The sequence below is a fragment of the Homo sapiens genome, chromosome 10 (assembly GCF_000001405.40).
Source record: "Homo sapiens chromosome 10, GRCh38.p14 Primary Assembly".
NCBI lineage: Eukaryota > Metazoa > Chordata > Mammalia > Primates > Hominidae > Homo > Homo sapiens.
In genome coordinates, this window is record NC_000010.11 from 74106669 (window position 1) to 74133064 (window position 26396).

Here is a 26396-nt window from a genome sequence, read left to right on the forward strand (position 1 = left end):
TCCAAAACCCATTATCACTAAGGACATGCTTGGTTTCCTAATTGGAGTTTCTAATAGTAGAGTAGATTCCTGAATTCCAGGCAACTGAACAGAGTAGCGCAGCTCAGCATAAGGGTTAACATACTGAATGCCAAGGACAGCAAAGGAGTAGAGAGAAAGGTGAGAAGTACTTCAGGGAATGTATGTCCAATCTGAAACTGACATCTCCCATGTTCTGAGTTGGGCAGGCTTATCTCTTGACTGCCTCATCATAAGAGAGGTGATGGATGCCACCTGAGCCCAAAGTGTTCATGCCCAGGGATCTCCTGGGTACTTTTTAGTTGTACAGCCAAGAAGGCACCCTGAACACTAAAAGAACAGCTGGTTTGTGATGCTTCCAATGCTCTGCAGGCCTCAGGGCATCTGCCTTGTCCTGCCTCCCCCCTTCTTCAATCACTGCCCGTGATATTTACTGGCAGCTTCACATCCAGCTTTTGTTCATGGAACCAGTTCTGCTGCTGCACAGACAGTGCTTTGGGGCACTGACCCACCCAGCTGAAAGTGAGGATGTCTTGTGTTTAGGACTGCAAAAGAGCTTCCTGGACTCAGGATATCGGATCCTGGGAGCTGTGGCCAAGGTCAGAGAAGCCTTCCAACCTCAGGAGCCTGACTTCCCGCCGCCTCCACCAGACCTTGAACAACTCCGAGTAAGTAAATTCAGATATGCAGAGAATTGAGCAGGAAGGTGTTGAGACTTCAGCAAGAGAGAGGTAGATTGTGTTTTAGAGCCTCCATCACTAGGTGGCTTCGTTTAGCTTTCATTTGAAGCTTAGTGGGAGGCAGATCTCGATTTTCATTCCTAAATCCAGTGGAGTTATAACCTAGTGCTTATATGCATGGGTTGTGTGTGTGTGTGTAGTACTGGTGTGTGTGGTAGTGGCTTGCTGTGATGGGGAGCGGCTGGAGCAGAGGAGCTGGCTTTGGTAAGTGTGGATGTGATGAGTGATGAGGTAGTGCATTGTGGTAAAATAATCTGCACAGCTTGGAGTAAGGAGATTTGGTGTGTTCTTAGTTGATAATGGTAGAACCGAGGTGGTTGAAATCTTGTGTTGGTTCTTTCCTTTATTTGACTTTTTTTTAAGTAACAAGATACATGCTTTTAAAAAATTTTTCCCTAACTATAATTTAAGATCTTTAGATACCTTCCCCACTACCCCCCGCAAGTACTGTGAATATATTTTTACATGGTGTAGGAAGAAGCTAGCTAGGCAGTATGTTGCAGACACAAATTCCAGAAACAGAAATAGTGATTATTTCTAGACACTTATTCCAACTAACAGTATTAGAAATACCTTGACTTTGTAAATAACTTATCAAGGCAATAATCTGATTTACTTTCCCATATTTAATGTCAGTAAAAGATGTTAAGTTTTTAAGTTGGTTGAGTACAAAATTGTGTCATCGCACACACAGCTAAGGAACAGTGTTTCCCAGCCTTCAACGCATCTTAGATTCTTCCCAGCTGGGTGCTTGGTGGGTGTTTAGAGCTGGGAGAGAGGGCTATTCCTGGGAATGGCTTCTTATGTGAGCAACAGAGTTATGTCATTTAGAATCTGGATCTTAGAGGTCATTTGGTCTAGCTACCCCTCAGTGACAGATGAGGAACCTCAGGCCAAGGGGAGAAGTTACTTGCCTATGTAGCTGCTTTCTGGTAGAACCAGGACCACAACTTACATCTTCTGTAGGGACTTTTTGAGAATCCTTCATCTGGTAGCACTGTGTATACTTCCCTGGGATGCAACCAAAACAGTAGCTGCAAGCCTTTTTTTTTTTTCTTTTTTTCTTGTTTTGAGATGGAGTCTTGCTCTGTCGCCCAGGCTGGAGCGCAGTGGCATGATCTCAGCTCACGGCAACCTCTGCCTCCCGGGTTCAAGCAATTCTCCTGCCTCAGCTTCTTGAGTAGTTGGGATTATAGGCACATGCCACCATGCCCGGCTAATTTTTGTGTTTTTAGTAGAGATGGGGTTTCACCATTTTGGGCAGGCTGGTCTCGAACTCCTGACCTCAGGTGACCCACCTGCCTTGGCCTCCCAAAGTGCTGGGATTATAGGCGTGAGCCACTGCGCCCGGCCACTGCTAGCTTTTTGTAGAGAAACCTGCTTCTGTTGAGATTGAAGCAGGTGGTCCTTGTGGCTCAGTGTGGGTGGTCTTATGTGGAGTCAATATGGGTGGGTTTTCTAGGGATGCTTTTTAGAAGAAAGGAAAGAATTCCAGGGGGGAGTAGTTTTAGGACTTTACTTACAACTTGTTTTCTCTTTTTTAGCTAACAGATGAGCTTGCTCCTCCCAAACCACCTCTGCCTGAAGGTGAGGTCCCTCCACCTAGGCCTCCACCACCAGAGGAAAAGGATGAAGAGTTCCCTGAGCAGAAGGCCGGGGAGGTGATTAACCAGCCAATGATGATGGCTGCCAGACAGCTCCATGATGAAGCTCGCAAATGGTCCAGCAAGGTAAGTAGTGAAGCTTTTCTTGTTGAGAAAGGATGTCTTCTCGGAAAGGATGAAGGACCATGAAAGACCCAGAAAGAAGAGTCTATTTGGAGTCACCCTCTCTCTCTCCTTTGGTTCCTGTGTTGCCAATAGCATATTCCTCTTCTTACCTGTGCTTTAGTGAGATGTTTCTGACACCTGATGGTTTCTCCTTCAAGCTTGCAAAAGCCAGAGTCAGGGTGCCTGTGATTTGAGAAGAGGATTCCTGTCCTTTGTCCATTAGAGTGCCAGGTGCCTTGACCTTAGCATTTGGGGTCTTTTAGAAATTGCTTATCTTTCTTGGAACTGCAAATGTTTTTAGATGCTACATTGCTAATGATCAGAGCTCCAAATATGAATTGTGTGGGCTGTGCTAAAGCTAGATGAAATGTTTGCATTTTCTTTTTTTTTCCACAGAAGCAAGTAGATTGGTATCTTAGAAGCCATGTGCTTTTGTCCTTTCTCAGAATCATTTCACCTGTCAACTCAAGACAGCTCCAGGCTGTCTCTTACTCAGCAAATCTGAAGGTGTAAATATTAATGTGGTTGGTAAAAATATGGATGCTACAGCAGTCTTGCCCTATGAATAACTTTTGCCTATTTTCCCCTAAATGATGAAAAGTGAGCAGTAGCTTTTCTAGATAAGAGGAATATTATTGCTAACCCTGCAGTGAAAGGTAGCTCTTAGTTCTAAACTGTTTCTAATATGACCCTAGATCTTTTTTTTAATGTTTTTATGACCCTAGATCTTTATTCCCACCACCTATTTGCCTTTATTCTTTACACATCCTCAAAGCTTTCAAGCTCTTGTGTCGATTGTATTTCCTCAGGGACCTCCTGCACCTGCAGCTGATCTTGGATTTTTTTCAGGCTGGGAAATTCACATTGGTTTTTAACTCTGTATTTTGCTGAACTGTTAGCTGTGAGCCCAGGTTCTAAGAAGGAAGGGAGACTTTGCTGGTGTTGGACCTGACCTGTAGAATTATTTATAATGGTATCTCTCCAACTGCATGTGGCAGAGCCCCACTGTGCATGGGGAGTGGGGGAGGGTGACAGTGAAGATTTTAAAGGAAATTTAAATTTCATTACAATGAACCAAAATACACTATGCAGAACAAAAAATATACATGAATTATTTAAAAAAACAAACAAACTTAAAAGCAGACAGCATTGGCCCACATTACTTGCCCCACTCTGCCATTTGTGGCCAGAAGTCCTGAGGTCTATCTCCTGAAGTGTGCAAGATCAGGAGTTTGCTGACTTTGAGTTGTGTGAAGTCAGAAGCTACTTGAACCATGTGTGTACTGGGCTGGGGAGGAATATCTGTTCGTGTGTCTGTCAACCTATCTGTCTTTGTACACTGTGGGACTCTGAGCCTTAGCAGCAGTGAGCTGGCTTTTCTTCTGAGCAGCAGAGATGGGTCTTGGTTGAGTTTAGGCAAAAGAGTTTAGATGGTATCTGAACCCCTTGTTGGCCCTGAATCCTCCAACATCGTCACCCTTTGGAGTCAGGTTTCATGTGCAGGTTAAGACTTTTAGGAGTGGTAACAACCTCAAAGAAAATTCCATATAAACTACTTCCTCTTGAGTACAGATGTTTGATGTAAAGAACCTGTATTCATCATTCTTTGTATAAATGGTTTGGCTTCATTGTGGCAGTTTTTAATTTTCTTTCCATGTTAGTCTATTTTCAGCATCTGGCTTTTATAATCTCCATCCCTGGTTCTAAATTCATGTTCTCTCCATCATGATTCTCATTCTTAAATGAGCACCATTCTTCTGAGCTTCTGTGAGCTCAGCTGCAGTCACTTGCCAAGTTCACATATTATTCTATCTGTGAACTAGATAAGCAGAGTTTGGGGTGAGTGAGAACCTATTTTGCAAGCAATTTAGGTTGTACCCAAGGAGAAGCTTTCTGAGGTGGTACTAGCAATGGATGCAAAAAGAGATGGTAGAAGCTTTGCCTCAGAAGACCTTGAGGGGATAGAGAGCTGGTCTGATGTGTGGGTGTTCCCTGAGATGGGCGGCTGACGAGGTGGCTTCTTGAGGCTCCTTACAGCTGGGTGACAGTGGGGTACTTAAGTTCTCTTCAGTCACCATTGTGTTTGTTTTTCCTGCCTCTTTCCTAGTTTGGTATTCGTTACCTCTGATGTATCATTTTTAATTCTGGGACTTTTAACTCATGAAGGAAATAATCTATGTCTGGCAGCTGCAGAGCTGACCCAAATTGCCTCCTGTGTCCCAGGAAAATGTAGAACAGTGACCATATGATCCAGCAGTGTTCACTTTGTTCTGTACAAAGTAACTTGTGTGGCTGCATTTACTTTTTCTCTCCGGATTCCTTTTAAAGGTAATTTGCTACTATCGTTTGGTTGTTTGGCTCCTCAGAAATATTCTCATGTGAGAATCACTCTTGTCAAGTTTGACTTTAGTATCAAGTATATTAAAGAAATGGATGCCACTTGCTTTCTTGGTGTAAAGATTTCTCTAGAAGCCCTTTGCCATTGGAGTGAGTCCCTTTTCTTCTCTCACCACACAGTGGCTTGGGCTGAGTGGCGCTGGAGGCTGAGAATTCCCCCTTCTGTGAAGCTTGGTACACAAGGCTCCTAGAGAACATGTTTCTTTCTCATCCTAGGCAGGCTTTGGTTACTAAACCAGCTGAAGCCCAGTTTCCCAAGTCGTATTGCTCTTACTAACACTATCCCTATTTCTCATCCTTCCCGCCATCGACAAAGCCGGGCATCCCAGCCGCTGAGGTGGGTATAGGTGTTGTAGCTGAGGCAGATGCGGCCGATGCTGCTGGCTTCCCTGTCCCCCCTGACATGGAAGACGATTACGAACCTGAGCTGCTGTTAATGCCATCCAATCAGCCGGTCAACCAGCCCATTCTGGCCGCGGCTCAGTCCTTGCATCGGGAAGCTACCAAGTGGTCTAGTAAGGTACTGATAAGCACCCCCAGTTGGGGGCTGCTCCATATGCATCCGGCCATGTGCAGCCTTGACACATTGCATCACTCATGATCTGTGCTGGTCCTGTGAGTCTGAGCAGGGCGGGCATCTGTCTGTCTGCACCATGTTGTTAGGACTGGCTTCACAAGTTTGATAGGTCTGCTAACGCCAGATTAATTGGACTGCATTTATGTTTAGGGGATGAAGAGAGATGGGGGGGGTCACTTTTGGAAAGGATTCCTTTTCTTACTGATTTTGTGGCCATCGCTGGAAACCCCTTGGGAAGCCGTGAATGCATCTCTCAATGACTTCCAGGTCAGGAACCATGGTAGACCATTACGAGGTCACCTGGCCTGACCATTGAGCTTTGCCTGCTCCCAACTGACCCCTCACTGATGGCTCAGGGAGAGTTGATGAGGGGGAGAGGCAGCTTTATAGGGCAGGGTCTCTGGGGGAGGACTGCTTGCTGCCCTGCACTTGGCTATGTGGCAGATGCTGGCCTTGATGGGAGTCCACAGAAAATGGGGCCTCACTGACTGCTTGTCCAGGTATCTCAGTGGGAGGGAATGGGAGTGGGAAATGGAGTACTCAAGGCCACAAGACAGGCCGCCATAGAACTTTGGCCTTGGGGAATGAACCAAAGCTAGTTTGGAGAGTAGGGTGATTGGGGTGATCACTTTTCCCTTTAAAGGTGGCATGCTGCAAGAAGAAAGGCTTTGAAGAGTGATGGGTAGTCACTAACCATGGCACTATGCTATCTTCTAACCAACGTGATGGGGTCCTGGAATGATCCTAGGTCTGCACTAGAAGAGGTAGACCCAGAGGACCTTGTCTAACATACCCCTTGCTTCTTGACTTCTTCCCATACCTGCGTTCTCTCCGGCCTCAATTACTGCCTGAGATGTTACACCCTTCCAGCATAAATGATGAACCGCTTCATGGTGCCTGTAGAGGCCTCTTGCAGAGCACCCTGCAGTGGTATGGTTTGTGTATGCCTCACTGCACTGTAGAGAAATGAAGAGCATGAGGGGAAAAATGAGTAGGGCCTGGACTTTTAGCTAGTTTTGAACACTGCAGTTGCTATGACTTGGGGTTGTTAGCAGCCAAAAGAGGAGCTTTCATGAGAGGGCACAGAATACATAACTTGTCTGTTTCTTTACTATGACCCATGAGGGTTTTAGTAAACCAAAATGCCAAGTCTAAGATAAACTGCCATTCCTTGGAGTGAGGGTTCCATTTACAGCCTGAATCACGACTTTTATTTTCCTAATGCCTTCTCTTGCATCCTCTTAGCTGAAGGTTCCTTTAACTGGAGTCTTCACTTAGCTGAGGGGACTGAAGAATTGATTCTTTACCCTTTTACGTGGGAAAAATTAAAGCAACATGTTCGTTCAGGCTGACAGGACAAATAAGAGGCAGTAGAGGGATAGCCAGAGCAGGCTAGATCAGAAAATATCTTTTTTTTTTTTTTCCCTCACCCAGCTGAGAATAGTTACTTGGGTTTGAAATTCTAGTTAAGTAGCAAGAACGCTTGGCTGCTATTTGCAACAAGGGTAAGCATGAAGAGGGTGATTTCAGCATCTGGAAAGGCTCCTCTGTATTTTTCCCCTCAGGCCAGCTCTACTGCTTTCTCCCTATAGAAATGAAAGTGCCTGTTTAACCAGCTCCTTGGCCCTGTCCCCAGTTTATTGATATGATTAACCTGGAGATGCCAAAGTGCTTGTTCAGTGCTGTGCCTGGGGTGCACATCTTGCCCTTTCAGACTAATATCTGGGTCTTCCTTTTTTTTAGTCAGGAAATGTCTCTCTCCCTCTCCTTTCCCCCTCCTCTCTCCTCTCTCTTTGTTTCTCACACTGAGTGCTTGGGCGAGTGCCCTGTCTCATTCTTTTTTTTTCTTCCAGTGCTATCCGTATCACTCAAGAACGGCCCTTTTCTCCTCTTCTCACCCTTCCGGAGGGATGCTAAGGTGGCAAGCTCCCTCCTCTTCTCTGTGCTTCTCCTTCCTTCCTTAACATGGCCAGAGCGTGGGCAGAGCTCACACTGTATCTTTGCTTCCCTCTAGGGCAATGACATCATTGCAGCAGCCAAGCGCATGGCTCTGCTGATGGCTGAGATGTCTCGGCTGGTAAGAGGGGGCAGTGGTACCAAGCGGGCACTCATTCAGTGTGCCAAGGACATCGCCAAGGCCTCAGATGAGGTGACTCGGTTGGCCAAGGAGGTTGCCAAGCAGTGCACAGATAAACGGATTAGAACCAACCTCTTACAGGTACTCGGGGAAAGAGGCTGCGTGTGTGTGTGTGTGTGTGTGTGTGTGTGCGTGTGTGTGTGTGTTGGAGGGGAGGGTATGAGAGGGAGAAAAGCAGGAGAGAAAAACTAGGTAAGGGAGAAAGAGGCACTTCACCGGGGACAGAAATAGCAGAAAGGGAAAAAAACAAATGTACTGGGAAAGACAGATTCAGGAAAGGTTACTTCCTAATCAAATGAATGCTTCCATTTCTGGAGAAATGGATTGTACTGACCCTAGGGGAAAAAACAAGTGGAATTCTGCTGCTTATTTATCGAGTGCCTTTTCTGTGCCAGCCACTGGGAATACAGAGGTAGGTAAGTCTTGCCTTCAAGGAGCTTGTGGGCAAGGCAAACAGAGAAACATACCAAATTAAACTTTCTCTTTAGGTATGTGAGCGAATCCCAACCATAAGCACCCAGCTCAAAATCCTGTCCACAGTGAAGGCCACCATGCTGGGCCGGACCAACATCAGTGATGAGGAGTCTGAGCAGGTATGTGGCAGCTGTTTTTGGTTTCTGGCTGGCAGCTTCTGTGCCGTTTTGCAGTAATTTAACTCTGCTTTGGGGAAATTTTACCCCTTAATTGAGTATCGAGTATTCAGTATGTGGGATGCACTCAGACTGTCTCAGGAGGGGAAAGTCTGTGTTGGATAGATACATCAGAAATTTGGAATTGGGGCCAGGTGCAGTGGCACATGCAGGTAATCCCAGCACTTTGGGAGGCTGAGGCGGGAGAATTGCTTAAGCCCAGAAGGTCAAGGCAGTAAGCTGTGATTGCACCACTGCACTGCAGCCTGGGTGACAGAGTGAGACTCTTGTCTTGAAAAAACAAAACAAAACACCAGGAATTGGGAGCCAGGTGTGGTGGTGTGCACCTGTAGTCCCAGCTACTCAGGAGGCTGAGGCAGTAGGATCATTTGAAACCAGGAGTTGAAGACTAGCTTGGGCAAAATAGCAAGACCCCATCTCAAAATAAATAGATAAATAAATAAATAAATAAATAAATAAATAAGTAAATAAAAGGAATCTGGAATTGCTCTTGGGCAACTTTTGTCATTTTACAGATAGGAAACTGAGGTCTAGAGAGGTTAAGTGTCTGAAATAACACTATGGATCAGTGGCAGTTAGGACTCTACTCAGTTCCTTACCCTTGGAATAAGTTTGGCTCTTTTGAGGCCTCCAGTGCCTGTTCATTTCAACTCACTGTATGTTTCTGGCTGGAGAGAAGGTCCGCTTTCCAGCTCTCTGTGTGTTAGTGCCTCAGGGAGGATGAATAGTGCAGGCTTTTCCGGGGCATGAGGTAGTTAGGCCTGTGCTGAAACTGAAATGACAGCTCAAAGGAGGTGCTTCTCTTATATTCTCTTTAGGTTTCTCTGATAGAGATAGAAATAAGGATGCTGAGAAGGTTCTCTTAACCACTGCTTCCTGCATATACCTTGGCAGTCACCCAAGTTTGTCCTCCTTCCCAAAATCTTGGCCCAGGTCTTTCAGGAAACCCTCATTTGAGCACCCCTTACTCTCCTTATTTCCCCTCCGGGAGGCCCTGCTCTAAGCAAGATTCCCACATGGACTGCCCACACAGGGCTCCTCACACATGGGGTACATAGTTTTGTTGGACTAGCCACACGAGGCTCATCACACATGGGCTAAGGTGAAGCACTGTATTAGGTGTTAAGGGAGTTTAAAAAATTAAGAGACACAATTCCCCCCACCCAACGTGGGGAACTCAAAAATAGTCTGAAAGAACAACTGTTTCTGATCTCTAGGCCAGGAGATAGGGCACTGGGGCACTTTAGAGGAAATAAGGCGGCCATTCTTCTTGGTGCCATTATTGTTGCTTCTGCTACCATATTCTAATCCAACAACTCTCACCCTAATCCTCTCTTCTCCCAAACCATGGGAACTGTATCTTCACACCTAACTTCCACATATTCTATGAAGGGTTTGCACACTTCGCTGTTTCTATGTCATGTGATCTCTTCTGTCCAAAGAAAGGTGGAAAAAAATGGGGAAGGAAGGGTAAGACTGAGATTCAGGCCTAATCAGAGACTTAATCAATTAACCACTAAAAATATGCCTTGAGAATATCTATTATGTTCCATTAAATATTCCAGTTTTAAAAAGGGTAGAAATTGACAGTATGGTAGAATGGAAAAAACACAGGACTGTTTGGGAGGCTGAGGCAGGAGAATCGCTTGAACCTGGGAGGCGGAAATTGCAGTGAGCCGAGATCGTGCCATTGCACTCCAGCCTAGTTAACAAGAGTGAAACTCCGTCTCAAAAAAAAAAAATAATAATAAAATAAAATAAAATAAACAACAACAAAAAACAAAACCCATAGGACTATAAGTCAGAAATCCTGAGTCCTAATTCTCACTCTATGAATGTCTCTGGGCCTGAGTCCCTTTGCTGACCAAGTGAAAAGAACAACTGATGAGGAATTCCAGCCCACAGTTACACTTATCAGAGCCTGTGAAACTGAGTGTACAAATTTTATGCAGGTGTGCATTTTTTCTGGGGGAGAATTCACCGCCTTCATTAAATCCTCAAATGATGTATGACTTAAAAATAGCCAAGAATTACTGAGCTGATGAATTGCCAAGATCCTTCCTTGACTTTCTATGGTAGAGTACCAATGTGATTTCAGTCTTATAAGTTTGTGCGTTTGTTTGAAAGATTAACGTATTTAGATTTTCATGGGTTTAAAGTGGTTGGTTGCTTGGTTTGTTCATTTGGTTGTTTTTAAAATTCATTAATTAAATATTTATGAAATACCTCCTGTGTGCCAGGCACCATCCTAAATACTGGGGGTATGACAGTGCACAAAATTGACAAAAATCTACTCTGTATAACTTAAATGTTAGTATGAAGACAGAAAAAACCCTCAAAACTCCCAAACAACCTAGGTAAAATACGTAGTGTATCAGTTCGTGATGATAGGTTCAATGGAAAAAATAAGGCCAAGCGCGGTGGCTCACGCCTACTGTATGTAGTCTTAGCACTTTGGGAGGCTGAGGTGGGCAGATCACTTGAGCCCAGGAGTACGAGTCCAACCTGGGCAACATGGCGGAACCCCATCTGTACAAAAAATTAAAAAATTACCCAGATGTGGCAGCATGTACCTATTGTCCCAGCTGCTCAAAGGCTGAGGCAGGAGGATCCTTGAGCCCAGGGGGCAGAGGCTGCAGTGGCCGAGATCACACCACTGCACTCCAGCCTGGATGAAAGAGAAAGACCCCATCTCAAAAAAAGAATGAGCAGGGAAATCCTCACCAAGGTGACAAGTGAGCAAAGATCTGAAGGTGAGGGGATCCCTGGGATCCCTGGGGAAAGAGCAGTCCAGGTACAGGAAACAGCAAGTCCTGAGGGAGAAGCATGTTTGAAGACCAAGAAAGAGGACATGCTGTAAGCTATCTGAAGCCACAGTATACAATCAGCGATGGCCAGTTTTGGGTTCTTTTTGGTGATCTGGGAAAACCCCTAGTGATGCAAGCAAATATGGGGGATGCCAGGTACCAGTGGGGTTAGCTGCATCCCACTCCTGGCTGAAACCTATTTTAGAGACAGGCCTGCATCAGGGACCCTGGGTAACGGAAAGTACCTTTTTCCTTGCAGGCCACAGAGATGCTGGTTCACAATGCCCAGAACCTCATGCAGTCTGTGAAGGAGACTGTGCGGGAAGCTGAAGCTGCTTCAATCAAAATTCGAACAGATGCTGGATTTACACTGCGCTGGGTTAGAAAGACTCCCTGGTACCAGTAGGCACCTGGCTGAGCCTGGCTGGCACAGAAACCTCTACTAAAAAGAAGGAAAATGATCTGAGTCCCAGGAGCTGCCCAGAGTTGCTGGGAGCTGAAAAATCACATCCTGGCCTGGCACATCAGAAAGGAATGGGGGCCTCTTCAAATTAGAAGACATTTATACTCTTTTTTCATGGACACTTTGAAATGTGTTTCTGTATAAAGCCTGTATTCTCAAACACAGTTACACTTGTGCACCCTCTATCCCAATAGGCAGACTGGGTTTCTAGCCCATGGACTTCACATAAGCTCAGAATCCAAGTGAACACTAGCCAGACACTCTGCTCTGCCCTTGTTCCCTAGGGGACACTTCCCTCTGTTTCTCTTTCCTTGGCTCCCATTCACTCTTCCAGAATCCCAAGACCCAGGGCCCAGGCAAATCAGTTACTAAGAAGAAAATTGCTGTGCCTCCCAAAATTGTTTTGAGCTTTCCATGTTGCTGCCAACCATACCTTCCTTCCCTGGGCTGTGCTACCTGGGTCCTTTTCAGAAGTGAGCTTTGCTGCTACAGGGGAAGGTGGCCTCTGTGGAGCCCCAGCATATGGGGGCCTGGATTCATTTCCTGCCCTTCCTCAGTTTAATCCTTCTAGTTTCCCACAATATAAAACTGTACTTCACTGTCAGGAAGAAATCACAGAATCATATGATTCTGCTTTTACCATGCCCCTGAGCAATGTCTGTGCTAGGGAAACTTCCCGTCCCATATCCTGCCTCAGCCCGCCAAGGTAGCCATCCCATGAACACACTGTGTCCTGGTGCTCTCTGCCACTGGAAGGGCAGAGTAGCCAGGGTGTGGCCCTGCCATCTTCCCAGCAGGGCCACTCCCGGCACTCCATGCTTAGTCACTGCCTGCAGAGGTCTGTGCTGAGGCCTTATCATTCATTCTTAGCTCTTAATTGTTCATTTTGAGCTGAAATGCTGCATTTTAATTTTAACCAAAACATGTCTCCTATCCTGGTTTTTGTAGCCTTCCTCCACATCCTTTCTAAACAAGATTTTAAAGACATGTAGGTGTTTGTTCATCTGTAACTCTAAAAGATCCTTTTTAAATTCAGTCCTAAGAAAGAGGAGTGCTTGTCCCCTAAGAGTGTTTAATGGCAAGGCAGCCCTGTCTGAAGGACACTTCCTGCCTAAGGGAGAGTGGTATTTGCAGACTAGAATTCTAGTGCTGCTGAAGATGAATCAATGGGAAATACTACTCCTGTAATTCCTACCTCCCTGCAACCAACTACAACCAAGCTCTCTGCATCTACTCCCAAGTATGGGGTTCAAGAGAGTAATGGGTTTCATATTTCTTATCACCACAGTAAGTTCCTACTAGGCAAAATGAGAGGGCAGTGTTTCCTTTTTGGTACTTATTACTGCTAAGTATTTCCCAGCACATGAAACCTTATTTTTTCCCAAAGCCAGAACCAGATGAGTAAAGGAGTAAGAACCTTGCCTGAACATCCTTCCTTCCCACCCATCGCTGTGTGTTAGTTCCCAACATCGAATGTGTACAACTTAAGTTGGTCCTTTACACTCAGGCTTTCACTATTTCCTTTATAATGAGGATGATTATTTTCAAGGCCCTCAGCATATTTGTATAGTTGCTTGCCTGATATAAATGCAATATTAATGCCTTTAAAGTATGAATCTATGCCAAAGATCACTTGTTGTTTTACTAAAGAAAGATTACTTAGAGGAAATAAGAAAAATCATGTTTGCTCTCCCGGTTCTTCCAGTGGTTTGAGACACTGGTTTACACTTTATGCCGGATGTGCTTTTCTCCAATATCAGTGCTCGAGACACAGTGAAGCAAATTAAAAAAAAAAAAAAAAAAAATCCCTGAATGATGATTAGAGACATCACCGCTAAAAAACTACATTTATAAGCTAGGATTTGTTATATGCAAATATTTTCTGCCTCTTCTTTTGTTCTGTTTAAAACAATAAAATGCATTTGTATAAAAAATGCTTTAAATGATGGATATGTTACTTTAGCAAGAACTTTTAGGTCAGGTTTCTCCTTTGTTTTGATGAATAGTCAATGAAACTAATCCTCAAGATCTGGAAACTAAAGATTTTTATTTAATCCAAATGTTGCACTGGAAGAAGAAATCAACAGTGGTATATTTACTTAACAAGGATGTGTGTAATACAAGACAACCCTGGGGATTACACACTTGAAGGAATGGAAGTGGCAAAGGTTAACAGGCAGAAAGCAGCTGGATGAAACAGTTTATTTTCATCTTAGAAGATTCTAGCTATCTGTGGAGACCACCACTGTTCCCCGAAAAGCTAAAGTTGTTAAGTTTGTAGGAGTACCACAGGTCCTTCCCCCTGCTGCAAGACAGAGACTTGCTCTGTTGCCCAGGCTGCAGTGCAGTGGTGCAATCTCAGCTCACTGCAACCTCTGCCTCCCGGGTTCAAGCAATTCTCCTGCCTCAGCCTCCCATGTAGCTGGGATTACAGGTGTGCGCCACCATGCCTGGCTAATTTTTGTATTTTTAGTAGAGATGGAGTTTCACCATGTTGGCCAGGCTGGTCTCGAACTCCTGACCTCAAGTGATCCGCCCACCTTGACCTCCCAAAGTGCTGGGATTACAGGTGTGATCCACCACGCCCGGCCACACAGGTCCATTTTTCATATTCCAAAGCCCAGTATAGAATAAATAGGGTTTTCAGGGATCCACCAGGGCTATAAAACAGAGTTAGCTTTTGGGGACATAGTCCTCTTCTTCCTTAAAGAAACACTGACTAAAATAGTAGGAGCAGGTTTTTAGAGTAGAGTTGGGACATCACTTTTTCCCTGATTTTCTAGATCTGAAAGGGGTAACATGTCATTAAAGGGTGATGATATTGATATTTAGTGTTGCCAACTGCTATTATCACTGCTTTATCTTGGAAAGTTGCCGACTATAAAGACAGATTCCAGCCTGCTTGAGTTAAGGGAAAGGCCAAGGCTGCTACTGAATTAGCAGTTTCTAAAACTGTCTTGTTTTTGCCATTTACCATATGTTCACTGGTGCTGCCTTCCTGCTGTAGTATAATCATTTTCTCAAATCAGTTGCCTCTCAGGACAAGATCAGCATTTTCCTAGGGTCCTTCTGTAGCACCACTTAAGGAATGAACCTATCACAGGAACTCCCTTTGAATAAAATGATGGTGACTCCCACACGCAGGAAAGAATCATTTACTTCATTTGCTCTTGATATACTCCCTTATGAATTTAGAACAAGTGATCCAGGATTAGCTGTAACTCTGTGCTTGAAAAATATTTTACTACTACTAAGTATTCAGAAATCTTTGTTATCAGTAGGTGGTGGTAGTGATAGGGAAGGGAGCTTTGATCACTAATCTCTCAGACTGTGGCCAGAATGGTGATGCTTAAGCCAAGTATGAATGGCTATTAACATACTGAGGTTAGGGAAGGAGTACTGAGAAGTGCTTTGCAGCAACACTCGCAGCTTGTGTGATGATGCAGAAGAAAATCTGATCATGTTCACCCTGCTTTGACAATGAGCCTTGCCCATTGGAGAATGTTCAATCAATAGTAGACCTAAAAAAAATCAACTTGTTGCTTTCATCTTTTTATTGATAGCACAGCCAGAGCTACCAAAATGATTTACTGGATTCTAGCAAATTAATAAATACAGTAATTTGATTGTAAAAGGAAACATTCTACTTGGACATTTTAGTAGAAATTGCTAGAGGGAAGGAGCTCCTGGCGTACATTCTACTTGGATAGAAGAGAAGATAGCACAGGAGGAGAACTGGACAGTCCAGGTATAGATTGTTGAGATTAGGGATTCAGCAGAAAGCAAAGCAAATGTTCTCATTGTTCTTTTGAGGTACGAACTCTGAAGAGTCAAGACATTAAAAATAAAAAGCAATTGAACCGGGTAGCCAAACTTAGGCAAAAGGAATAAATATTTGGCAACATTTTGACTTTAACTGCCAATCTGAGATTAGTTTCTTCAGAAATTTGGAAGCTGCAAAACGTTGCCTTTCTTATTCCATGAAAGGCAGGGCAGGCAAAGGTAAGAAAACTGCTGAGTGGGCTCCTTGTACCAGCACCAACCAGCAGCCCTTGACAGCATAGATGGGATGAGTGTAAGGGCTATCCTTAGCATAAGGGAAAGACGGTTATAAGCTGAGAAGATTGAAAGAAGAATGGAGCCACAAAGAGAATAGCATAAATAACAAGAAGGAAACATGAAGAACAAGCACTTAAGATATTAACTTTCAGTCTTTCTCCATTTCTTGATGTCTAATGAGGCAAAATAACTGGGCAAGGACCACCAAGATGAAGAAGTTAAATAAAATGTCACAATGAAATTGAGTGCAATAATACAACTGTTGACTGACTTTCCAAAACCACGGTGATCGGTAGAGTATCATCAATGTTACCGAGGATTTTGTTTCTGCCTCATTATAACTCACTTCCATGTATTTTGTCAGTATAGTACGTATATTTAAGCACTCCAGTGACAATTATGACAATAGTTTCTGGAAGAAATCTATGACTATAGCTTTGGGAAGCACACAATATGAAAAGGGAATTTCCCCTAAAGACAAGGAATGCAGACAAATTCAAACCCTTAAGAACAACAACAAAAAAGATTTAAAAAGACTGATGACTGTGAGGCAGGCACATTTTCCTCCTTTTGCTGAACTGGGGCATGAGGCATTTAGGTTAACCATGGCTTAACTGGTGTTGGGTAAGCTTTATATTATAAAACATGAAGATGGCAAAGGTTTCACTTAAGTTTTTCTTTTACTACTTTAATTTGCTTAAAAGCACAAATGCTTGTGCTTGCAGTAACTTCCTAAAAGCAGAAGTAATGTTCCCTTTTACTACCTTAATAAAGCATTTGCCCCTTTGATACAAATGATTTTTTTACTGTGCTAACAGCTGAACCAGTGGCACAAAATTGAGATGGTATTTACTGCAGCAAGGTCCCTGTAAATCAAATTCTAAGCTTTACATAAAAATCTTATTTATAAAAAATACAATACCAAGTACAGTGAGAATGGAGCATGGAGCAGCAGTGCTCCCTGCCAGGGCCATGTGGAAGTGGCTTTTGCTACAGTGCTTGCTTAATGGCACAAGTGAAAAGCTGAATAAGGCAAACACTTGAAGAGGCAGTTTTCTGTAAACTTCTGGGGGTGGGGGGAATTTCCTCTCGGGACAGATACTGGTTTGGGATGGCTAAGATCAGAAGGTGTGATATTTGGCTGCACCTGACACATCACAGATTTAAGATAGCTTCTGCTGGATGAGACCAGTTAACTCTTTTAGGAGAGAGGTTATCACTACAGCTTTCTGCCTTTACTGTTACAATGTGCAGCCGCCAGATGGTATCCTCCTATGGAAAAAAATCACCTCCAAAATCTTCCTAAGTGAAAAGATACAAAATAAGCTAAGTCACTAAAAGGTTTCCTTAGCTTAAAGCTCCTTAAGAATCCTACATTGATAACTAAGTAACTTTGTTAGCGGTGTGTAGCTAGACACAAATGCTTTAACTAGAATATGTATTCCCACTCACTTGGTACCTAATAGTGATACATCGTAATGACACTTGGAAAACAAACTGGTCCTGAGGAATTTTGGCCTCTTCTCATGTCCTCACTTGGAACTTTCCAGCTTTCGTGACGTATTTGACTCCTTTAAATGGCTTATATTTCTCCCCATACATGTCCAAACGGTTTACTTTTAAGCCTGTATCAAAAAGAATGAAAAAGAATAAATTATCATCATCCCAACCAATATAATGTTAGCAATGAGCGCTATATGGTAAATCTGACATTAACCAGTGTCCCTTCCACCATTTGGAAGAAATGTCTCTTCTATCATTTACAAATTATTGCACTTTGATGGTATGGTTTTGGTTAAGATTCCCACACAGGCAGGGAATGTCTGTGAAGTATAATTCTACTTTCTGTGAATATGAATAACTCTCTTTTTGGTGCTTAAATGAGGGCGGAGGTGAGGGGAAGCTGTTTGAAATAAGGTGCTCTGAAAAATCATTTGGTCGGTGCCTGTGAGACTGCCCCACCAAGCACAGTATAAAAGGCAAATGGGCTACTGCTCTTTCTAGAGAAGGAAACTTTTGTTACTCTTCTAAATGCCTAATAAATGAGCTTGCAAAACTCAATTACCCTTAACTACAAGTCAACCTTATCCTTACCTGAAATAGCAAGCTGCTGGATCTTAAACTGTATGTTGAGGCTCGGATTCTCTTCTGGTTTGGGGGCTCCAGACTGTAAATTTACCAGTCCTTTAAGACTTGGGAGCTTTTGTGGAGTAATTTTTCCCACATCCCATGTTAGTACCTTAAAAAGACAAAAAATGAAAAACAAATAGAACCATTTATTAAAGACAAACCCTCAAAAACAAAGTTCAAAGATATCATAAACTTCTGTACAAACTGAAGTGCAGTCTCTTGAAAACAAGAGATCTGGCATCTACAGTGAGTTTACCTCTGATTAATTCTGTGACTTTGAATGGGGAGTGAGAGCAGAGAATCTACATTTGTTGAGCATTTTCTTTTGTATTAGCACCGTGCTTAGCATTATTCATATGTTGTCTCATTGAGGGCTGTGAAGTAGCTTTTGTCTTCTATTTACAAATGAGGAAATTAAAGCTCAGAGGACATTAAGGCTCAGAGATCAAATGACTCGCTCAAGGTCACATAGTTAGTCAGAGGTAAGGCTGGGATTTGAACCTAAGGCCCTCTGATTTCAAATGTTCTCCATCATAACCATCTTCACTTTTCTCTGGGCCTGTTTCTTTTTCTTTTTTTTTTGAGACAGAGTTTCACTCTTGTTGCCTAGGATGGAGTGCAATGGTGCAATCTTGGCTCACCACAAACTCTGCCTCCCAGGTTCAAGCGATGCTCCTGCCTCAGCCTCCCAAGCAGCTGGGATACAGGCATGCGCCACCATGCCCAGCTAATTTTGTAGTTTTAGTAGAGATGGGGTTTCTCCATGTTGGTCAGGCTGGTCTCGAACTCCTGACCTCAGGTGATCCACCCACCTCGGCCTCCCAAAGTGCTGGGATTACAGGCGTAAGCCACTGCGCCCAGCCTCTGTTTATTTTTCTGTAAAATAATTAGATTGACTTAAGATGGTGTTTTTAAAACTTTTAGCTGTGAAACCCATTGTTCAAATGAAATCTTCGGTGTGAAGGCTCAACAGCAGATGAGAAAGAAAGCAAAGCTGTCATAGTTGAAGCTGTGGTAAAGGGCCAGGAATCTGAAGCTCCCTTTCTCAGCCCTGTGTGGTCTCCAGGAGGAGGTTCTTTGAATCCTTACAACTGTATTAAATAATCTTTAACATTCTATGATGTTATTCAAAAAACATGTCTTTTCATTTATCAGGTAGCTCAATGACTCTGCTATTGAAAACAATCATATTTACCAGCTAATCAGGAAGCTGAGAGAAAATCATCTGCTACAGTTTCTCTGAAAACCCTCTGTTACACAAAAATTTAAGTAGAGTGAGGAAGCAACTTTCCTAGCCCTGTGAAAGAGTATGAAATAATGCTTTTAAATTATAAAGGAAGAAAAAGGTCTTAGTGATCAATTTATATAGAAAACTTAGTAATTCATAGACCATCATAATATCTTCTTCAATCTACATAATGTTTTCTCTTTTTAAAAAAGCTTTTACTTCTTTCTTATTAGATAGCAGAGTCAGGCTCTGGATTAATAATGGATGAGTGAAGGCACACTCTGAAAAAGGACAGAATGACACATTTTTCTGTTCATCTACTCAGTAGCAGCTGCAGGATTCCTTCTGCAGCCAGTGGCAGAAGCACAGCACAGTATGCTCTCTAGGTTTTGATACGAACTTTAGTTTTAAACAAGGTGCCAAACCTTTCCCTCCATTCCTCCCCACAAATCACAAAATAGATTGCAGAAACACTTGCTCACTCTTGATTTGAAGTGGCTGTACCTTGGTGACTGGATCAAATGTATAGCTGCCTTGTGTGGGTGTCAGGTTCATGTTCAGCACAACTTTTGGCATGTGAACTGTCACTGTAATTCCTTCAATAGTTTTCCCCATATTCTGCTTTGGTCCAATTGTTATATCAAATCTGCCGCAAGAACTGTTCTCCTTAAAGCTGATACTATGTTTCACATACACTGGTATTGCCACTAGACTAAAAAGAGAAACAGAGAAAGATACAAAAGCACAAACACAATTAATGGTGTGGGGAGAGCTCCAGAGGTATCCTGAAAACCTCTGTCCAGAGTATCCTACCCTGCCTTTAACTCCACAATAAGGTACTACAGAGTTGGCTCTCTGTAGCCACAGTTCTGCATCCTTGAATTTGACCAGCTGAGGATTGAAAATATTATTTCACAAAATTGGCCAGGCGTGGTGGCTCATGCCTGTAATCCCAGCACTTTGGGAGGCCGAGACCAGGGTTGGGAGGGGATCACCTGAGGTCAGGAGTTTGAGACCAGCCTGGCCAACATGATGAAACCTCGTCTCTACAAAAATTAGCTAGGGCTGGGCGCGGTGGCTCACACCTGTAATCTCAGTACTTTGGGAGGCTGAGGTGAGGAGTTCAAGACCAGCCTGGCCAACATGGTGAAACCTCGTCTCTACTAAAAATACAAAAATTAGCTGGGTGTGGTGGCTCATGCCTGTAGTCCCAGCTATTTGGAAGCCTGAGGCAGGAGAATCGCTTGAACCTGGGAAGCGGAGATTGCAGTGAGCTGAGATCGTGCCACTGCACTCCAGCCTGGGCAAAGGAGCGAGACGCCATCTCAAAAAAAAAAAAAAAAAAAAAAAAAAAAAAAGTAAAAAATAACAATATAACTACAATAAAAATAAAAAGTCAACATGGTATAACAATTATTTACACAGTGTTTACAGTGTACTATCACAAGTAACTTGGAGATGATTTAAAGTATACAGGAGGATGTGCATAGGTTATATGCAAATACTACACCATTTTATGTAAGGGACTCGAGCATCTGCTGATTTTTGCAACCAGTCCTCCAAGGATACCAAGATGGCAGTACCTCTAGAACTGCAGATTCAGTATCTACACAAGGGGGAGCTGAGTACAGCATAATGTTCTTGTACCACTGTGCTGGGAACTGTATACAAATCAAGACAGAAATCTGAAGTTTAATAACAGTATAAACAATTGGGGTGGCTGGGTGCAGTGGCTCACACCTGTAATCCCAGCACTTTGGGAGGCCAAGGCAGGCAGATCACTGGAGGTCAGGAGTTTGAGACCAGCCTGGCCAACATGGTGAAATCCCCTCTCTAATAAAAAAAAAAAATAACAAAAAACAAAAATTAGCTGGGCGCGGTGGCAGGTGCCTGTAATCCCAGCTACTTGGGAGGCTGAGGCAGGAGAATCGCTTGAACCCAGGAGGTAGAGGTTGCAGTGAGCCAAGATCACACCATTGCACTCCAGCCTGGGTGACAATAGTGAAACTCCGTCTCAAAACAAACAAACAAAACAAAATAACATAAAACAAACAAACAAAAACAATTGGGGCAAATGGCCCTAGTTTAAAATGAATTATGATCCCACTGAAAAATAATGTAAAATATGTTTTATATAAATGAAAACAGTTCCTATGTGATAAGAGCCAAGAAACAGGCCAGGCACGGTGGCTCACGCCTGTAATCCCAGCACTTTGGGAGGCTGAGGTGGGCAGATCACCTGAGGTCTGGAGTTCGAGACCAGTCTGACCAACATGGAATAACCCCGCCTCTACTAAAAACACAAAATTAGCCGGGTGTGGTGGTGCATGCCTGTAATCCCAGCTACTTGGGAGGCCGAGGCAGGAGAATCACTTGAACCCTGGAGGTGGAGGTTGCAGTAAGCCGAGATTTCACCATTGCACTCCAGCCTGAGCAACAAGAGCCAAACTCCGGCTTAAAAAAAAAAAAAAAAAAAAAAAAGGAAAAGAAAAGAGCCGAGAAATAATTTCTCTGTTTTTGAGTTCTGTCATGATGTTACTCAAATAACTTTTGGTATTTTCAAGAAACAAACTACCTATAACTCCGATCCCCAATGCTAAATTTTTTTTTTTTTTGAGATGGAGTTTTACCCTGTTGGCCAGGCTGTAGTGCAGTGGTGTGATCTGTCACTGCAACCTCTGCCTTCCAGGTTCAAGTGATTCTCATGCCTCAGCCTCCTAAGTAGTTGAGATTATATAGGCACACGCTACCACGCCTGGCTAATTTTGTGTTTTTAGTAGAGACAGGGTTTCACCATGTTGACCAGACTGGTCTAGAACTCTTGACCCCAAGTGATCTGCCCACATTGGCCTCCCAAAGTGTTGGGATTACAGGAGTGAACCACTGCACCCGGCCCCTCAATGCTAAACAGTTCCTTAAAAACTCAACGCAGAGAAGACGTACTTGAAGCAGGTAAATTGGGGAATGTCCTCACGAACTACAGGTAGGTCTGTCTCCTTGTTGGCCACAAACTCTACAGACTATGGTAAGATTATGGCAATGGTTCATGGTTTTGCCCAGGTTATGCATGGTCCGTTTTGCTCTGCTTGCAAAGTACTCAGCTTTCAGAAGCAGAGCAAAATGGACCATGCATAACCTGAGCAAAGAACCAGTGCCATAATTTGACCATGCATAACCTTGCAAAGGACCGGTACCACAATTTTTGCCCAGGTTATGTATGGTTTGCTTGTTCTTGGCTATAGATTTTACTCTAGTCTCACTTAGTACCACTCTACACTCATACATTCAAAGTATACGGATTATTTTAGGTGCGTATTTTCACCCGTTCTCACTGGGTCTCCTGGTGAGCTATGGTTAAAGTGAGCAGTGATGACCTCAAGTACTCAACTTTCAGAAAGAAACAGGGAAAGGTGAGTTGTACTTGATATGTATGATGGCAGATTCTGGCTGATGCATCAACATACTTTTGTGAGCTGACACGGTATGATATGAGTCGGAAATTTCCATCTGGAGGAATAAATGACAAAACTCTTTCAGATTCCCAACGCTTGAACCGGATGCAGGGGTGAAAGCTGACATCATCCAGAAGCCTAGGGTTCTGCCAGAAAAACAGAAGACAGTCGTTCATAGACTATAATGAATATGGGAACTGTACTCAGATACCTTGACAAATATGTTCCCTGAAGATAAAGCAGTCATGGAAGAGTTTATGACCACATCTACACAACCTTATAGTTTCATAATGCTTTAAAGTTTGTAAATATTTTATGTACATTATTTTATTTGAATTTCAATAACTATAAAGGAGAAAAGGCAAGTAGTATTATTTCCCTTTAACAGATTAAAAAACTGAGGTTCAGAGGACTTAAGGTCAGAGCAAACTGGTGACAACACCAGAAGTCAGTTCTCTTAATTGTTCCTAGCAGTATATCATGCTGACTCTAAAATGATACAAAAGACCAGTGTCCTTTCATATCAGCAAAGCAAATAATTATTCAGTAAAAATGATACTGGATATTTGCAGAAGCCAGCCAGCCAATTTTAAGCCCCTTCTAGCACACTCAGGCAAAGACCTCCCTTAGTCTTTCCACAAAGACCACGCTCATCATGTAAGCGACTGTCTTAGGAAACTCTGCTAGGAATATTTCTGAGATAATCCTTTGCAATCTAAGATGCAAACTTATCTCAATATTTATCATTTCATTTAGTACTTCACATGTATTAGGCATTCAAGGGGCTATAAAACAGGAGAATAAAACTTACCATGAAAGAAAGGGAGAGATCAGGCATTCCAGATAGTTTAATGCAAGCATCAATGACCCCCTGAATTTCTGCAAAGACTGTAGATCCTGAAGAAAGAAAAAAAAAAGGAAGATAACATCAATGGAATATGAGTCTTCACTAGACCTATCACTGTATCTTTTTATTTTTATTTATTGTTTTTAGAGACAGAGTCTTGCTCTGTTGCCAAGGTTGGAGTGCAGTTGTATGATCATAGCTCACTGCAGCCTCACTCCTGGGCTCAAGTAATCCTCCTGCCCTAGCCTCCCAAATAGCTGGGAATATAGGTGCGTGCCATGACACCTAGCCCAACAATCACTACATCTAGAACAATAGAGATACCCTCTGGGTGTCAGATTAACTGAAGCTTTACATCTCTATTAACAGGTCAGGGGACAAGGTCCATACTTAACTCTGGCTGGAATATAATAATAATTCTTTTATTTTTAAGAGATAAAGTCTGACTAGCTAGTCCCAGCTGGTCCCCAGAGTAACTGAGACTACAGGTATGCCACTGTAGAATATAATTTTTTTTTTTTTGAGACAGGGTCTTGCTCTGTCACCCAGGCTGGAGCGTAGTGGTGCTATGATAGCCAGCCTCAACCTCCTGGGCTCAAGCAATCCTCCCACCTCAGCCTCCCAAGCAGCTGGTACTACAGGCATGCACCTCCACGCCTGGCTAATTTTTGTATTTTTTTTGTAGAGACAGGGTCTTGTTATGTTGCCCAGGCTGGTCTCAAACTTCTGGGCTCAAGCAATCCGCCTACCTTAGCTTCCCAAAGTGCTGGGATTACAGGTGTGAGCTACCATACCCAGCCAGAATATGCTAATTCTAAGGAAAATTAAACTGTTTCCTTTATGGAGCCAACCCTGTAAGATGACTGGATATGAGTTTAAAACATTTGGCAGGACGCAGTGGCTCATGCCTGTAATCCTAGCACTTAGGGAGGCTGACGTGGGTAGATTATCTGAGCTCAGGAGTTTGGGACCAGCCTGGGCAACATGGCAAAACCCCGTTTCTACTAAAAATACAAAAAATTAGCCAGGCGTGGTGGTGTGTGCGTGTAGTCCCAGCTACTTGGGAGGCTGAGGCAGGAGAATCGCTTGAACGTAGAAGGCGGAGGTTGCAGTGAGCTGAAACCACAACACTGCACTACAGCCTGGGCGACAATGTGAGACTCTGTCTCAAAAACAAAATAAAACAAACCAACCAAAACCATTTTCAATAGAATTTTATTTTTTTTTAATTTTTTTTTTGAGACGGAGTCTTGCTCTGTCACCCAGGCTGGATGGAGTGCAGTGGCGCTATCTGGGCTCACTGCAAGCTCTGTCTCCCGGGTTCACGCCATTCTCCTGCCTCAGTCTCTCGAGTAGCTGGGACTACAGGCGCCTGCCACCACACCCAGCTAATTTTTTGTATTTTTAGTAGAGATGGGGTTTCACTGTGTTAGCCAGGATGGTCTGGATCTCCTAACCTCGTGATCCACCCGCCTCAGCCTCCTAAAGTGCTGGGATTACAGGTGTGAGCCACCGCGCCCGGCTTCAATAGAATTTTAAAATGTGGCAAGTGTATTATGAAATGGACTAAGTTAACTTTTAAGAAATAGGATCCATAATAGAAAGATATCTCTTTTTTTTTAAGAGACAGGGTCTCCCTCTGCCATCCAGGCTGGAGTACAGTGGTGTGAACATAGTTCACCACAGCATTGAACTCCTGGGCTCAAGCAATCCTCCTGCCTCAGCCTTCTGAATAGGTAGGATTAAGGAAGCCATGCCTAGCTAATCTTTTAAATTTTTGATAGATATGGGGTCTTGCTATGTTGCCTAGGCTGGTCTTGAACTCCTGGGCTCAAGTGATCTTCCTGCCTAAGCCTCCCAAAGTGCTGGGATTACAGGTGTGAGCCACCGTGCCTGGCAAAAATCTATTATTCTATAAGATGGAATGTTATAATGAAAAGGGGACTCATGGAAGAGAAGATATTGACTATAATTCACAATAAGCCATCATTACATATTAACAAGTTGTGTGACCTGGAACAGTTCACTTAACCCTTCTGGGCTTTCCTTATGTGTAAAATAAATGTAAAGGAAGGACTAGATTTTTTTTCTTTTTTCTTTTTTTGTTTTTTTAGAGATGGAGTCTCACTCTGTCACCCAGGCTGGAGTGCAGTGGTGCAATCTTGGCTCACTGCAACCTCTGCCTCCCAGGGTCAAGCAATTCTCCTGCCTCAGCCTCCCAAGTAGCTGGGTTTACAGGCGCCTGCCACCACGCCCAGCTAATTTTTGTATTTATAGTAGAGACGGGGTTTTACCATGTTGGCCAGGCTGGTCTCAAACTCCTGACCTCAAGTGATCTGCCTGCCTCGGCCTCCCAAAGTGCTGGAATTACAGGCGTGATCCACCATGCCCGGCTGCTATTTTTAATAATAAAATTTTACGATTCTTATAGAGTACTATTGTTTTGTCTGGTTAAAAAGATAATCAGATTGGGTGTGGTGGCTGATGCCTGTAATCCCAGCACTTTGGGAGGCTGAGGTAGGTAAACTGATTGAGCCCAGGAGTTCAAGACCAGCCTGGGCAACATGGTGAGACCCTGTCTGTACAAAAAAAACAAATAAAAGTTAGCCAGGCATGGTGGCGTGTGGCGTGTACCTCCTGATTGGCTGGGACTATAGGCTACTCAGGAGTTTGAGGTAGGAGGATCACATGAGCTGGAGGTCAAGGCTACAGTAAGCAGGGACTGCGCCAATGCACTCCAGCCTAGGCAAAAGAGCAAGACCCTGTACTTAAAAAAAAAAAAGAAAGTGAAAAATAATCAGATAGGGGCTTTTACCAGAAGTACTGCACATAATGTAGTAGCAAAAGCATGGTATATAGCAGATTTTCAATAAATGTTAGAAGGAATAAATAGCAAGAGGTAGAGGTACATAGGGTAATAATTGGCTTAAAGTAAGGCATTATGAGTTCTGATTTACATGTTTGGCAGACCTCAACTAGTGGTTATGAAAATTATATGTAACCTATGGGCAAAATAAACAGATTTATGGGCCAGGTGCAGTGGCTCACGCCTGTAATCCCAGCCCTTTGGGAGGCCAAGGCAGGTGGATCACTTGAGGTTAGGAGCTTGAGACCAGCCTGGC

At 43.4% G+C, this 26396-nt stretch overlaps 2 protein-coding genes across 10 annotated transcripts in view; one reads left to right on the top strand and one right to left on the bottom strand.

Annotated features, from left to right (window-relative positions):
* VCL (vinculin) overlaps positions 1-14695 on the top strand; it is a 123248-nt gene extending 108553 nt beyond the window's left edge. The window contains exons 17-22 of one of the 2 annotated variants that reach the window (NM_014000.3): positions 562-686; positions 2303-2488; positions 5241-5444; positions 7516-7719; positions 8127-8231; positions 11355-13501. In NM_014000.3, coding sequence (NP_054706.1) covers positions 562-686; positions 2303-2488; positions 5241-5444; positions 7516-7719; positions 8127-8231; positions 11355-11501 — 971 coding nt within the window. In that variant the 3' untranslated portion in view covers positions 11502-13501. Of the gene's footprint in view, positions 1-561; positions 687-2302; positions 2489-5240; positions 5445-7515; positions 7720-8126; positions 8232-11354 lie in introns of both variants that reach the window. The other variant, NM_003373.4, reaches the window with a different exon arrangement.
* Positions 13587-26396, bottom strand: part of AP3M1 (adaptor related protein complex 3 subunit mu 1) — a 30574-nt gene continuing 17764 nt past the window's right edge. For 6 of the 8 annotated variants that reach the window (NM_001320265.2, NM_012095.6, NM_207012.4 and 3 more), the window contains 5 exons: positions 23239-23324; positions 22440-22573; positions 19480-19687; positions 17712-17856; positions 13587-17242 (listed from right to left, as the gene is read on the bottom strand). In NM_001320265.2, coding sequence (NP_001307194.1) covers positions 17142-17242; positions 17712-17856; positions 19480-19687; positions 22440-22573; positions 23239-23324 — 674 coding nt within the window. In that variant the 3' untranslated portion in view covers positions 13587-17141. Of the gene's footprint in view, positions 17243-17711; positions 17857-19457; positions 19688-22439; positions 22574-23238; positions 23325-26396 lie in introns of those variants that run through there. The other 2 variants (NR_135191.2, XM_047425054.1) reach the window with 2 other exon arrangements.